This window comes from Homo sapiens, chromosome 17 (genome assembly GCF_000001405.40).
Source record: "Homo sapiens chromosome 17, GRCh38.p14 Primary Assembly".
NCBI lineage: Eukaryota > Metazoa > Chordata > Mammalia > Primates > Hominidae > Homo > Homo sapiens.
This window is the reverse complement of record NC_000017.11, coordinates 42439204-42455353: the sequence shown is the minus strand read 5'-3', so window position 1 is coordinate 42455353 and position 16150 is coordinate 42439204. Positions and strand designations below refer to the sequence as shown.

At 46.2% G+C, this 16150-nt stretch overlaps 1 long non-coding RNA gene and 1 pseudogene across 5 annotated transcripts in view; one reads left to right on the top strand and one right to left on the bottom strand.

The window, feature by feature from the left end:
* LOC102725238 (uncharacterized) overlaps positions 5097-16150 on the bottom strand; it is a 27071-nt gene continuing 16017 nt past the window's right edge. For 4 of the 5 annotated variants that reach the window (XR_934763.2, XR_934762.3, XR_002958124.2 and 1 more), the window contains one exon: positions 14304-14470. This is a non-coding gene — a long non-coding RNA (uncharacterized LOC102725238). Of the gene's footprint in view, positions 6854-14303; positions 14471-16150 lie in introns of those variants that run through there. The other variant, XR_007065758.1, reaches the window with a different exon arrangement.
* On the top strand, positions 15095-15156 carry RNU7-97P (RNA, U7 small nuclear 97 pseudogene; annotated as a pseudogene).

The window sequence follows — 16150 nt, the reverse complement described above, 5'->3', positions numbered from 1 at the left end:
GCTACTTGGGAGGCTGAGGCAGGAGAATCACTTGAACCCAGGGGGCAGAGGCTACAGTGAGCCAAGTTTGCGCCACCTCACTCCAGCTTGGATGAAAAAGCAAAACTGTGTCTCAAAAAAACAAAAAACAACAGAAATCGGCCATGCACGGTGGCTCACTCCTGTTATCCCAGCACTTTGGGAGGCCAAGGCAGAAGGATGGCTTGAGCCCAGGAGTTTGAGACCAGCCTGGACAACACAGCAAGACCCACGTCTGTAAAAAAAAAAAAAAAAAAAAATTAGCTGGGCATGGTGGCACGTGCCTGTAGACCCAGCTACTCAGGAGGCTGAAGTGGGAGGATGGCTTGAGCCTGAGCCAGGGAGGTTGATGCTGCTGCAGGGAGCCGTGATTGAGCCACTGCATTTCAGCCTGGGTGACACAGTGAGGCCCTGTCTCAAAAAAACAAAAACACCGAAATTTATTCTCTCACAGCGGAGGCTAGAAGTCTGAAATTAAGGTGTCTGCAGAGCATGGTATCTCCAAAGGCTCTGGGAAAGAATCCTTTCTTCCCTCTTCCTGGCTTCTGGTGGTTGCCAGAAATCCTTGGTGTTCCTTGGCTTATAGATGCATCATTTCAATTGTTGCCTCCATCGTCACATGGTATTCTTTCTTCTATATGTCTTTTTTTTTTTATTTGAGATAGAGTCTTGCTCTGTCGCCCAGACGAGTGCAGTGGCGCAATCTCAGCTCACTGCAACCTCCACCTCCCAGGTTCAAGCAATTCTCCTGCCTCAGCCTCCTGAGTAGCTGGGATTACGGGTGTGCACCGCCACGCCCAGCTAATTTTTGTATTTTCAGTAGAGACGGGGGTTCGCCATACTGCTCAGGCTAGTCTCGAACTCCTGGCCTCAAGTGATCCACCCGCCTCAGCCTCCCAAAGTGCTGGGATTACAGGAGTGAGCCACTGCACCCGGCCTTCTCTATGTGTCTCTGTCTGTAGGCAAATTCTCCTCTTCTTATAGGGGCACCAGCCATTAGATTAGGGCACCACTTAATCCAGTATGATCCCATCTTAACCTGATTACATCTGCAAATATCCTATTTCCAAATGAGGCCACCTTCACAGGTTCCCCGTTATACATGAATTTTTTTTTCTTTTCTTCCTTTTTTTTTTTTTTTTTGAGACGGAGTCTCACTCTGTCATCCAGACTGGAGTGCCGTGGCGCAGTCTCGTCTCACTACAACCTCTGCCTCCTGGGTTCAGGCATTTATCCTGCCTCAGCCTCCCGAGTAGCTGGGATTACAGGGCCTGCCACCACGCCCGGATAATTTTTTTGTATTTTTAGTAGAGACAGGGTTTCACCATGTTGGCCAGGCTGGTCTCTAACACCTGACCTCAAGTGATTTGCCCTCCTCTGCCTCCCAAAGTCCTGAGATTACAGGCGTAAGCCACCACACCTGCCCTATGTTTTCCTTTTTGCAACCAGAATTCCATTTTTAAAAGTTTTCTTTTTATGTGAAAATGAATTCTGATTCTTAAAACTGTTCTACCAAGAATCTGATATGAGCGTTCATTGAGACATTTCTACTGCTACAACCTTTAGGTGACCTGTTGATTAGCAGTTTGTTTCCATAGAAGTAGTCCCTTTTACAACTTCACTGTGAGTTCCTTAAAATACTTCTGCTTTTACTTTCAAACCTGTGAGTGTTTAAGATTAAAGGCCTTTTGGTAAAAAGTAAAAACCTAATAGATTTTGAGACTTCCTCGGAAGCTCTGCTAATGATTGCATGGACAAGGAGATATAAATGAGCCTAAGGCATGTAACATTTTATTTTATGCAACCCTCATGACTCCTGTGACAGACACATGAGGCAGTGAGCCTCTTAACTTGTGGAAGTTAAGAATGCTATGCAGAGGCTTTTTAAGGAAATGAAATTTGGAAAACATGAGAAATCTTGGGATGGGAATGAGGGAAAGGGCTGAGTGACACAAGGCTGAAAAACATCTGTGACACTAGACCTGAAATATTTGTCCAGGAAAGTGAGAAACTAGTTCGAGATTTCTGAAGTGGAAAATCTGGCAAATGTTTCTATATTGGGTTTCTAGTGACTTCGAGAAAGAAAGGGAGACGTGGAATGAATACATCGGAAAATTCTAATAGAAAAGATCTAGTTGATTCAATGTTCAAAGGAGAGATCTAACTTTCAGTAGAACATAAAGCTCCAAGAGAAGGGACCCTGCGTATCTCACTTATTGTATTCTCACTGCCTATTTTGGTACCTGGTATTCAGTATATACTTAGTAAAATTTTCTTTTCTTCTTTTAAGATATGGGGTCTTGCTCTGTCACCCAGGCTGGAGTGCAGGGCTGCGATCTTGGCTCACCATAACCTCCACCTCCCGAGTAGCTGGGATTACAGGTGCACACCACTACACCTGGCTAATCTTTGTATTTTTAGTAGAGACAGGGTTTCACCGTGTTGGTCAGGCTAGTCTCAAACTCCTGACCTCAGGCGATTTGCCTGCCTCTGCCTCCCAAAGTGCTGGGATTACAGGCATGAGCCACAGCGCCCGACCCATTTCTTTTTTTCTAAAAAGACTCTCTTGCTATGTTGCCCAGGCTGGAGTGCAATGGTGCAATCATGACTCCCTGCAGCCTTCAACTTCCAGGCTGAAGCAGTCCTCCCGCCTCAGCCTCCTGAGTAGCTGGGACCACAGTCACACACCACCAAACCAGACTAATCTTTTGATTCTTTGTGGAGACAATGTCTCACTATCTTGCACAGGCTGCACTCAAACACCTGGACTCAAATGAGCCTCCCTACTCAGTCCCTTGAAGTGCTGAGATTACAGATGTGATCCGCTGGACCTGGCCTGAAATGAGATTCTTGAAAACAGCATATTGTTGTCCGGGCACGGTGGCTCATGCCTGTAATCTCAGCACTTTGGGAGGCCGAGGCGGGTGGATCACCTGAGGTCAGGAGTTGAGACCAGCCTAGCCAACATGGCGAAATCCCATCTCTACTAAAAATACAAAAATTAGCCAGGCATGGTAATGCATGCCTGTAATCTCAGCTGCTGGGGGGCTGAGGCAGGAGGATCCCTTGAACCTGGGAGGCGGAGGTTGCAATGAGCCGAGATAGTGCCACTGCACTCCAGCCTGGGCAACACAGCAAGGCTCCATCTCAAAAAAAAAAATAGAAAAAGAAAAAGAAAAAAGAAAACATATTGTTGTGTCATATTTTTAATCCATTGTCAATGTCTGCTTTTTTAACTTTAATTAATTAATTAATTAATTTTTTTGAGACAGAGTTTCGCTCTTGTTGCCCAGGCTGGAGTGCAATGGTGCAATCTCGGCTCACCGCAACCTCTGCCTCCCGGGTTCAAGGGATTCTCCTGCCTCAGTCCCCAAGTAGCTTGGATTACAGGCATGAGCCACCACGCCCAGCTAATTTTATATTTTTAGTAGAGACAGGGTTTCACCATGTTGGTCAGGCTGGTCTCGAACTCCCGATCTCAGGTGATCCACCCACCTAGGCCTCCCAAAGTGCTGGGATTACAGGTGTGAGCCACTGTCCTTGGCCTATTTTTGTATTTTTTGAGATTGAGTCTCGTTCTGTCACCCAGGTTGGAGTGTGGTGGCACCATCCCAGCACACCGCAACCCCTGCCTCCTGGGTTCAAGGGATTCTCCTGCCTCAGCCTCCTGAGTAGCTGGGATTACAGTCGCCCACCACCACACCCAGCTAATTTTTTTGTATTTTTAGTAGAGATGGGGTTTCACCATGTTGGCCAGGCTGGTCTCAAACTCTTGACCTCAAGTAATCCACCTGCCTTGGCCTCCCATAGTGCTGGGATTACAGGTATGAGCCACCGTGCCCGGCCAAAGTCTGCTTTTTAATTGGTGCACTTTGTTTACATTTAATGTAATTATTGATACCTTAAGGCTTAAAGGCGAGGTGTGGTAGCTCATGCCTGTAACCCCAGCACTTTGAGAGGCTGAGGCAGAAGGATCGCTTGAGCCCAAGAGTTTGAGACCAGTCTGAGCAACATAGCAAGACCTCATCTCTACAAAAAAAAAAAATTTTTTTTAACTAGCCAGGAGTGGTGGCATGTGCACCTGTAGTCCCAACTACTTGGGAAGTTGAGGTGGGAGGATTACTTGAGCCCAGGAGTCCGAAGCTGTAGTGAGCTACGATCATGCCACTGCTCTCTTGCAGCAAGACTCCATTGCTAAAAAAATAAGTATGTAAATAAATAAAAGGTTTAAGTCTGCTGTTTTATTTTTTGTTTTCTGCTTGTTCCTCTTGTTGTCTCTGTGTTTGATTTTTTCTGGCTTACTGTGGGCTACTTGTACCTTTTTTTTTTAAATCCCATTTTAATTTTCCTATAGTGTTTTTGAGTGCATCTCTTTTTTTTTTTTTTTTTTTGAGACGGAGTCTCGCTCTGTCGCCCAGGCTGGAGTGCAGTGGCGCGATCTCAGCTCACTGCAAGCTCCGCCTCCCAGGTTCACGCCATTCTCCTGCCTCAGCCTCCGGAGTAGCTGGGACTACAGGTGCCCGCCACCACGCCCGGCTAATTTTTTTGTATTTTTAGTAGAGACGAGGTTTCACCGTGTTAGCCAGGATGGTCTCAATCTCCTGACCTCATGATCCGCCCGCCTCGGCCTCCCAAAGTGCTGGGATTACAGGCGTGAGCCACCGCGCCTGGCCCGAGTGTATCTCTTTGTGTAGATTTTTTAAGTGGTTGTAATGGGTTTCATATTATACATATATAAATTATCACAGTCAACTGATGTCAATATTTTTTCTTTTTTCTTTCTTTTTTTTTTTTTTTTTTAAGACGGAGTCTCTCTCTATCGCCCAGACTGGAGTGCAGTGGCGCAATCTTGGCTCACTGCAACCTCTGCTTCCCAGATTCAAGCGATTCTCCTGCCTCAGTCTCCTGAGTAGCTGGGATTGCAGGCATGTGCCACCATGCCCGGCTAACTTTTGTATTTTTAGTAGAGACAGGGTTTCACCATATTGACCAGGCTGGTCTTGAACTCCTGAACTCAGGTGATCCACCTGCCTCGGCCTCCCAAAGTGCTGGGATTACAGGCGTGAGCCACTGTGCCTGGCCAACTGATGTCAATATTTTTATCAGCTTGAGTGAAGTATAAAACTCTTACCTCCATTTTAGTCTTTTTACTTTCCCATTTACAACATAATTGTCTTAAATATTTCCTCAACATACTTTGCAAACCACATTGGACAATGTTACACAGTCTGCTTCAACCATCAAACATAATTGAGAAAACTCAAGAGGAGAAGTGTTTTTTTTGTTGTTGTTGTTTTGTTTTTTTTTTATTGATCATTCTTGGGTGTTTCTTGCAGAGGGGGATTTGGCAGGGTCATAGGACAATAGTGGAGGGAAGGTCAGCAGATAAACAAGTGAACAAAGGTCTCTGGTTTTCCTAGGCAGAGGACCCTGCGGCCTTCCGCAGTGTTTGTGTCCCTGGGTACTTGAGATTAGGGAGTGGTGATGACTCTTAATGAGCATGCTGCCTTCAAGCATCTGTTTAACAAAAACATCTTGCACCGCCCTTAATCCATTTAACCCTGAGTGGACACAGCACATGTTTCAGAGAGCACAGGGTTGGGGGTAAGGTCATAGATCAACAGGATCCCAAGGCAGAAGAATTTTTCTTAGTACAGAACAAAATGAAAAGTCTCCCATGTCTACTTTTTTCTACACAGACACAGCAACCATCCGATTTCTCAATCTTTTCCCCACCTTTCCCCCTTTTCTATTCCACAAAACCGCCATTGTCATCATGGCCCGTTCTCAATGAGCTGTTGGGTACACCTCCCAGACGGGGTGGTGGCCGGGCAGAGGGACTCCTCACTTCCCAGTAGGGGCGGCTGGGCAGAGGTGCCCCCCACCTCCCGGATGGGGCGGCTGGCCGGGTGGGGTCTGACCCCCCACCTCCCTCCCGGACGGGGTGGCTGGCCGGGCGGGGGCTGACCCCCCACCTCCCTCCCAGACGGGATGGCTGCCGGGCGGAGACGCTCCTCACTTCCCAGACGGGGTGGCTGCCGGGTGGAGGGGGCTCCTCACTTCTCAGAGGGGGCGGCTGCCGGGCGGAGGGGCTCCTCACTTCTCAGACGGGGCGGCTGGGCAGAGACGCTCCTCACCTCCCAGACGGGGTCACGGCCGGGCAGAGGCGCTCCTCACATCCCAGACGGGGCGGCGGGGCAGAGGTGCTCCCCACATCTCAGACGATGGGCAGCCGGGCAGAGACGCTCCTCACTTCCTAGATGGGATGGCGGCCAGGAAGAGGTGCTCCTCACTTCCTAGATGGGATGGCGGCCGGGCAGAGAAGCTCCTCACTTTCCAGACTGGGCAGCCAGGCAGAGGGGCTCCTCACATCCCAGACAATGGGCAGCCAGGCAGAGACGCTCCTCACTTCCCAGACGGGTTGGCGGCCGGGCAGAGGCTGCAATCTCGGCACTTTGGGAGGCCAAGGCAGGCGGCTGGGAGGTGGAGGTTGTAGCGAGCCGAGATCACGCCACTGCACTCCAGCCAGGGCACCATTGAGCACTGAGTGAACGAGACTCCGTCTGCAATCCCGGCTCCTCGGGAGGCCGAGGCTGGCGGATCACTCTCGGTTAGGAGCTGGAGACCAGCCCAGCCAACACAGCGAAACCCCGTCTCCACCAAAAAAATACGAAAACCTGTCAGGCGTGGCGGCGCGCGCCTGCAATCCCAGGCACTCGGCAGGCTGAGGCAGGAGAATCAGGCAGGGAGGTTGCAGTGAGCCGAGATGGCAGCAGTACAGTCCAGCTTCGGCTCGGCCTCAGAGGGAGACCGTGGAAAGAGAGGGAGAGGGAGACTGTGGGGAGAGGGAGAGGGAGAGTGAGACCGTGGGTAGAGGGAGAGGGAGAGGGAGAGGGAGGAGAAGTGTTATAGACTGAATTGTGTCTTCCCAAATTCCTATGTTGAATCCCTAACCTCTATTGTGACTGTACATTGGAGACAGGGCCTTTAAAGATGTAATTAAGATTAAATGAGGGCCGGGCACGGTGGCTCACTCCTGTAATCCCAGCACTTTGGGAAGCCACGATGGGCAGATCATTTGAGGTCAGGAGTTTGAGACCAGCCTGACCAACATGGCAAAACTCTGTCTCCACTAAAAACACAAAAAAATTAGCCAGGAGTGGTGGCACACACCTGTAATCCCAGCTACTCGGGAAGGTGAGGCAGGAGAATTGCTTGAACCCGGGACACAGAGGTTGCTGTGAGCCGAGATTACGCCATTGCACTCCAGCCTGGGCAACAAGAGTGAAACTCCGTCTCAAAAAAAAAAAAAGAAAAGAAGAAAAAAAGGACACCAGCCGGGCTTGGTGGCTCACACCTGTAATCTCAGCACTTTGGGAGGCCGAGGTGGGAGGATCACTTGAGGTCAGGAGTTTGAGACCAGCTTGGCCAACATGTTGAAACCCCCGTCTCTACTAAAAAAAAAAAAAAGAAAATTATCTGGGTGTGGTGGCACATGCCTGTAATCTCAGCTACTCGGGAGGCTAAAGTAGGAGAATCACTTGAACCTGGGAGGTGGAGGTTGCAGTGAGCTGAGATTGTGCCACTGCACTCCATCCTGAGCAACAGAGCAAGACTCCGTCCCCCCCCACAAAAAAGGACACCAGTCCTGTTGGATTAGCCCGGCTAATTTTGTTTTTTCGGTAGAGATGGGGTTTCTCCATGTTGGCTTGTCTCGAACTCCCGACCTCAGGTGATCCGCCTGCCTTGGCCTCCCAAAGTGCTGGGATTACAGGGGTGAGCCACCACGCCCGGCCCAGTGTCCTTTTCAGAAGAGGAAAAAGCACCAGGAGTGGTCACACACAGACAAAAGGCCATGGGAGGACACAGCAAGAAGGTGGCCATCTACAGGCCAAGAAAAGAGGCCTCAGGAAAAACCAAACCTACCAACACTTTGGTCTTAGACTTCCAGCCTCCAGAACTGTGAGAAAATAAATTCTGTTGGTTAAGTTACCCAGTCTGCAGTATTTTGTTATGGAAGCCCTAGATGACTAATACAAGAAGGAAAGTATATTGCAATTACTCATATATTTGCTTTCCACGTTCTTTTTTCTTTCTTTTTTTTTTTTTTTTGAGACAGAGTCTCGCTCTGTCACCCAGGCTGGAGTGCAGTGGTGCGATCTCAGCTCACTGCAAGCTCCGCCTCCCGGGTTCACGCCATTCTCCTGCCTCAGCCTCTCTGAGTAGCTGGGATTACAGGCACCCGCCACCACGCCCGGCTAATTTTTTATATTTTTAGTAGAGACGGGGTTTCACCGTGGTCTCGATCTCCTGACCTCGTGATCCGCCCGCCTCGGCCTTCCAAAGTGCTGGGATTACAAGTGTGGGCCACTCCACGTTCTTTTTTCATCCTTGATGTTCCAAGGTCCCTTCTTTTATCATTTCCCTTTCTTTTCAAGAACTTCCTTTAGCTTTTTTTTTTTTTTTTTTGAGATGGAGTCTTGCCCTGTCACCAAGACTGGATTGCAGTGGTGCGATCTCTGCTCACTGCAACCTCCACCTCCCAGGTTCAACCGATTTTCCTGCCTCAGCCTCCAGAGTAGCTGGGACTACAGGCATGTGCCACTATGCCTGGCTAATTTTTGTATTTTTAGTAGAGACTAGGTTTTGCCACGTTGGCCAGGCTGGTCTCAAACTCCTGGCCTCAAGTGATCCGCCTGCCTCGGTTTCCCAAAGTGATGGGATTACAGGCATGAGCCACTGCACCCGGCCCCCTTTTAGCCACTTTTTTAAAGGGTAGATCTACAAATGACAAATTCTCTTAGTTTTTCTTCATCTGAAAATGTGTTGATTTCTCTTTCATCTTTGATAGTTTTTTTCTTCTAGCATTTGAAAAAAGTTGTGCCACTTTCTTCTGGCCTTTTTTAGTTTCTGGTGAGAAATCTATTGTGGTTCAATCTGTTTTTCCCTTATGAGAAAGATGTTTTTCTCTTACTGCTGTCAAGATTTTTTCTTTGTTATTAGTTTTCAGGAGTTAGATTATTACGTGTCCTGGTATAGATTTCTTTGAGTTTATCATGTTTGTGGTTTTCTCAGCTTCTTGAACTTGTAGTTCTAGGTCTCTTGTCAAATTTGAGGAATTTTCTGCCATTATTTCTTCTTTTTTTTTCTTTTTCTTTTTTTTTTTTTTTTTTTTTTTTTTTTTTTTTTTTTTTTTGAGACGGAGTCTCGCTCTGTCACCCAGGCTGGAGTGCAGTGGCGCGATCTCGGCTCACTGCAAGCTCCGCCTCCCGGGTTCACGCCATTCTCCTGCCCCAGCCTCCCGAGTAACTGGGACTACAGGCGCCCGCCACCACATCGGGTAATTTTTTTTTGTATTTTTAGTAGAGACGGGGTTTCACTGTATTAGCCAGGATGGTCTCGATCTCCTGACCTCGTGATCCTCCTGCCTCGGCCTCCCAAAGTGCTGGGATTACAGGCGTGAATCACCACACCCAGCCCATTATTTCTTTGAATAAGTTTTCGGTCTTACATTCTTACTCCTTCTAGGACTCTGACGACATAATTTTCTCTCTCTCTCTCTCTTTCTCTCTCTCTTTCTCTCTCTCTCCCTCCCTCTCTCCCTCTCTCCCTCTCTCCCTCTCTCCCTCTCTCCCTCTCCCTCTCTCCCCTTTCTTTCTTTCTTTTCTTTTCTTTTTTGAGGCAGAGTCTCGCTCTGCTGCCCAGGCTGGAGTGCAGTGGCACAATCTCGGCTCACTGCAACCTCCGCCTTCTGCCTCCCGGGGTCAAGCGATTCTCCTGCCTCAGCCTCCCGAGTACTTGAGATTACAGACGCCCGCCATCATGGCCGGCTAATTTTTGTATTTTAGTAGAGACAGGGTTCGGCCATGTTGCCTAGGCTGGTCTCAAACTCCTAAGCTCAAAGCAATCTGACCACCTCAGCCTCCCAAAGTGCTGGGATTATAGGCATGAGCCACCACACCTGGACTGAAATATTCTTTAATATTAAAATTAAATTTCATAAAAAGGAATGAAAGTATGACACATGCTACAACATGGATGAAACTTGAAAACATGCTAAGTGAAATAAGGCAGATTGTAAAAGGACAAATATTGTATGATTCCACTTAAGTGAAATATCTAGACTAGACTAGACTAGGCAAATTTATAGAGACAGAAAGTAGATTACAGATTACCAGGGGCTAGGAGAAGCAGGGAATGGAGAATTGTTGTTTAATGGGAACAGAATTTCTCTTTTATTTTGGAAATAGATAGTGGTGATAGTTATGCACATTGTCAGTGTAATTAATGCCACTGAATTGTACATTAAAAAATGGTTAAGGCTGTGCGCGGTGTCATGCCTGTAATCCCAGCACTTTGGGAGGCTGAGGCAGGTGGATCACCTTAGATCAGGAGTTCGAGCACTACCTGTCCAACATGGTGAAACCCCATCTCTACTAAAAATACAAAAATTAGCTGGGTATGATGGCGAGTGCCTGTAATCCCAGCTACTCGGGAGGCTGAGGCAGAAGAATTGCTTGAACCCAAGAGGTGGAGGTTGCAGTGAGCCGAGATCGTACCACTGCACTCCAGCCTGTGCAACAGAGCAAGACTCCATCTCAAAAAAAAAAAAAAGGTTAAAATGGGGACCAGGCACAGTGGCTCATTTCTACAATCCCAGAACTTTAGGAGGCTGAGGTGGGAGAATACATTGAGGCCTGGAGTTCAAGAGTAGCCTGAGCAACATAGCAAGGCTCCGTCTCTATATTACAAAAAAAAAAAAAAAAATATATATATATATATATATATATATATGGCCGGGCACAGTGGCTCACGCCTGTAATCCCAGCATTTTGGGAGGTCAAGGTGGGCGGATCACGAGGTCAAGAGATCAAGAAGGTCATCCTGGCCAACATAGTTCACATGGCAGCAGAGTGAGACTCTGCCTCAAAAAAAAAAAAAAAAAAAAGGAAAGAAAGAAAGAAAATTATGTCGTCAGAGTCCTAGAAGGAGTAAGAATTTAAAAATTCAAAAATTAGCTGAGCATGGTGTTGTGTGCCTATAGTCCCAGCTACTTGGGAGGCTGAGGCAGGAGAATTGCTTGAACTCGGGAGGCAGAGGTTGCAGTGAGCCAAGATCATGCCACTGCACTCCAGCCTGGCAATAGACCAAGACTCCATCTCAAAAAAAAAAAAAAAATATATATATACACACACACACACACACACACACACACACACACATATATTTATATATATAATGGTTAAAATGGCAACTTTTATATTTTACCACAATTTTAAAAATTAACATGATATACCAAAACCATTGAATTGCACTCTTTGAGTGAATTGTGTGGTATGTGAATTATATATCAATAATCTGTTTTGTTTTGTTTTGTTTTTGAGACAGAGTCTTGCTCTGTTGCCCAGGCTGGAGTGCAATGGCACGATCTCAGCTCACTGCAACCTCTGCCTCCCCGGGTTCAAGCAATACTCCTGCCTCAGCCTCCTGAGTAGCTGAGATTATAGGCATGCATCACCACAGCCTGCTAATATTTGTTTTTTGTTTTGTTTTGTTTTTGAGACAGAGTCTCACTCTGTCACCCATGCAGGAGTGCAGTGGCATGATCTTAGCTCACTACAACCTCCGCCTCCTGTGTTCAGGCGATTCTCCTGCTTCAGCCTCCCAAGTAGCTGGCACTATAGGCGCCCGCCACCACACCTGGCTAATTTTTCGCATTTTTAGTAGAGACAGTGTTTCACCGTGTTAGCCAGGATGGTCTCAATCTCCTGTCCTCGTGATCCACCCGCCTCGGCCTCCCAAAGTGTTGGGATTACAGGCATGAGCCACCGTGCCCAGCCAATAATACTCGTATTTTTATTAGAGGAGGGATTTCGCCATGTTGGCCCGGCTGGCCTCGAATGCCTGACCTCTGGTCAATAATCTATTTTCTTAAAAAGATTCATGGTGAAGATATGGAGAAATCGGAACCCCCATTCACTACTGGTGAAGATGTAAAATGGGGCAACTACTTTGGAAAATAGTCTGGCAATTTCTTAAAAGGCTTATCATAGAGTTACCATATAATCCAACAATTCCACTCCTAGGTATACACCTAAGAGAAATAAAAACCAAATGTCCACAGAAAAACGTGTACACAAATGTTCATAACAGCATTATACACAATAGCCCAAAATTGGAAACAACCCAGATGTTCAACAATGGATGAATGGATAAAGAAAGTGTAGTATAGCCATACAATGAGATGTTATTCAGCAATAAAAAGGGATGAAGTAATGACACATGTTACAACAAAAACCTTGAAAACATAGTAAGTGAAAGAAGTCAGTCAAAAAAGACCACATATGTGACTGCATTTATATGATATGTCTAGAGTAGACAAATCTATAGAGGCAAAAAGTGGATTATTAATGCCTAGGGCTGGGGTGATGGGGAGAATGGAACGTGATGGCTAAAGGGCATGGGGTTTCTTGGCCAGACACAGTGGCTCACACCTGTAATCTCAGCATTTTGGGAGGCTGAGGCAGGAAGATGGCTTGAGCCCAGGAGTTCAAGACTAGCCTGGGCAACATAGTGACACCCAGTCTCAACAAAAAAGAATAAATATTGTTTTAAAGAAAAAATAATAAAGTCAAAAAAGTGAAAAAAATAATAAAAGGGCATGGGGTTTCTTTTCAGGGTGATTTTTTAAAGTTCTGAATTTTTTTTTTTTTTTTTTTTTTTGAGACAGGGTCTCACTCTGTCACCCAGGCTGGTGTGCAGTGGCATCATCACAGCTCACTACAGCCTTGACTTTCTGGGCTTAAGCGAGCCTCCCACCTCAACCTCCCAAGTAGCTGGGACTACAGGTACTGGGACTCCCGAGTAGCTGGGACTATAGTTTATGCACAGAATTTGAGCCTCCCTCTCTGTGGCTCTTATTTTGATAGGATTTCCTCCCATTATTTCCACCTGCTGGGGTTGCCCTGAACAATTCAAGCTAGTAAGACTGCAGGGTTTGGGTTTTTGTTGTTTTGTTTTTGTTGTTGTTGTCGTCGTTTTAAGAGATAAGATCTCGAGCACAGTGGTTCATGCCTGTAATCCCAGCACTTTGGAAGGCTGAAATGGGCTGATCACCTGAGGTCAGGAGTTCAAGACCAGCCCGGGCAACATGGTGAAACCCTGTCTCTACTAAAAATAGCTGTAGTCCCAGCTACTCAAGAGACCGAGGCAGGAGAATCACTTGAACCCGGAAGGCAGAGGTTGCTGTGAGCTGAGATCACGCCACTGTACTCCAGCCTGAGCAACAGAGTGAAACTCTGTCTCAAAAAAAAAAAAAAAAAAAAGAGATGAGGTCTTACTGTGTTGCCTAGGTTGGAATACAGTGGGTATTCACAGGCACAATCTTAGTGCTCTACAGCCTTGAACTCCTGTGCTCACGGTTTCCTCACACGTCAGCCTTCTGAGTAGGTGAGACTACAGGCGCACACCACTACCCCCAGCTTTGTTTTAACCACTCACTTTGCAGACTTTGGACTTCCCTTAGACTAAAAGCTGTAAAAACACAGGAAACCCATTCAGTCCTCTTCTCTTCCAGGTATCCACCTCTGTGCAGTATATTCCTCCTGTTGTTTGCTAATGCCTTCAGGTAGTTTTTGTTTGTTCTTTAATATTTTGCTCTGAGTATATCATTCTTATTTACAGAAGACTTGGTGTGATGGGAATTACTCAGCCATAATTGGAACTTCCTCCTGTGTTTTTTGACATATTCCCATCATTTTGCTGGGGTGTTGGGGGTGGCAGGGGACTTCCTTAATTTCTATCACAATAGGATATTTTAAGCTTAGCTTATACTTTCCTTGTTCCAGCCCTGAAGTCATCCATTTCTCTAAGAAGCTGTTTCTTTGTTGTGAGGAATAATATTTAGAAACCAAGATCTTGGTACCAAGCCTGCTCATTGTTACATTGTGTTATTGCTTCTAAGCCTTCAACACACAGAGGCCAAACCTCTAGCTCTATCTCTACAAATGTATATGAAGTTATGGGTTTATACTGATGCCTCTAACACCAGTTCCACCCATCTAAGGTTCCTTTGTATTCCCTAATTCATATTTAAATCTACTTTTTTCCTACAGTGAGAACTCTAGCTTCCACATTCTTTTATATGTCATTTGCTTAATTCTATAATATGCACAATATAATGTCATAATTGCTATTCCCATACCACTTCTCCTTCAGTACAGTTTTGTTGTTCATTTGTAACATGAGTTAATTTCTGTTTTCATTCAGTTTAGGGTCTCCTCCAATCTTGGGGATTTCATTTATTGAATTTATCATTTTATTTCCAAATATTCTATTTTCAGGCCAGGCATGGTGGCTCACACCTGTAATCCCAGCGATTTGGGAGGCTGGGTCAGGAAGATCACTTGAGCTCAAGATTTTGAGACCAGCCTGGGACACATAGTTCCTGTTTCTGCAAAAGAAAAAAAAAGAAAAGGAAAAAAAAGTATATATATGTTCTATTTTGAAAACTGCTGAATCTTTTGTTGTAATAGCTTTATTGAGATATAATTCATATACCATACGACTCACCCATTTAAAGCGTACAAGTCAACAATTTTTAATACTCACAGAATTGTGCAACCATAGCCACAATTAATTTTAGAACTTTCCACTCGGGCGCAGTGGCTCCTGCCTGTAATCCCAGAACTTTGGGAGGCCAACTTGGGCAGATCACCTGAGGTCAGGAGTTCAAGACCAGCCTGGCAAACATGGTGAAACTCCATCTCTACAAAAATACAAAAATTAGCCGGGCATGATGGCGGGTGCCTGTAATCCTACCTACTCGGGAGGCTGAGGCAGGAGAATTGCTTTAACCGGGGAGGTGGAGGTTGTAGTGAGCCGAGATCACGCCATTGCACTCTAGCCTGGGCGACAGAGTGGGACTCCATCTCAAAAAGAAAAAAAAAGGAAAAAAAAGAAACCTCAGCAGAGGAGGAAAAACTGTAAAAAAAAGAAAAAAAAAGAATTTTGTGCATAGAAATTGAAAATTTGGAAATGAAAATTTCAGACTAAAAATTAAAATGTCAAAGAAATCAAGTATTACAGCTCTTTTAGAATCCGTCTAGCAGGTTTTCCAGTTTTTACCAGAAAACTCTCCAAAAAAATTTTTTTTAAATAGTCCGGGCATAGTGGCTGACACTTGTAATCCCAACAGCTGGGGAGGCCAAGGCCGGAGGATTGCTTGAACCCAGGAATTTGAGACCAGCCTGGGAGATCCTGTCTCTACAAAAAATAAAAAAATAAAAAAAAAATCCTGTCTTTACAAAAAAAAAAACAACACAAAAAATTAGTCAGGTAAGGTGGCATGTACTTGTAGTCCTAGCTAATTGGGAGGCTGAGGTGGGAGGATTGCTGAGCCCAGGAGGTTGAGGCTGCAGTGAGCCATGTTCATGGCACAGCATTCCAGCCTGGGCGACAGAGTGAGACTTTGTCTCAAAAAAATAAATAAGGGCTGGGCACAGTGGCTGTAATCCCAGCACTTTGGGAGGCCAAGGAGGGCAGATCACTTGAGGTCAGGAGTTTGAGACCAGCCTGGCCAACATGGTGAAACCCCGTCCCTACTAAAAATACAAAAATTAACTGGGCATGGTGGTGTGCACCTGTAATCCCAGCTACTCAGGAGGCTGAGGCAGGAGAATTGCTTGAACCCGGGAGGCAGAGGTTGCAGTCAGCCGAGATTGTGCCACTGCACTCCAGCCCAGCCTGGGGGACAGAGCAAGACTCCATCTCAAATAAATAAATAAATAAATAGGGCCAGGTGAGGTGGTTCACGTCTGTAATCCCAGCACTTTGGGAGGCCGAGGCAGGAGGATCACTTGGGCCCAGGGGTTTTATTTATTGTTTTAATTTAATTTAATTAATTTATTTATTTTTGTCATGGAGTCTCCTCTGTTGCCCAGGCTGGAGTGCAGTGGCGCCATCTAGGCTTACTACAACCTTTGCCTCCCAGGCTCAAGTGATTCTGTTGCCTCAGCCTCCTGAGTAGCTGGGACTGCAGGTGTGCACTGCCACACTTGGCTAGTTTTTGTATTTTTAGTAGAGACGGGGTTTCGCCAGTGTTGCCCAGGCTGGTCTCTCCTGGCCTTAAGTG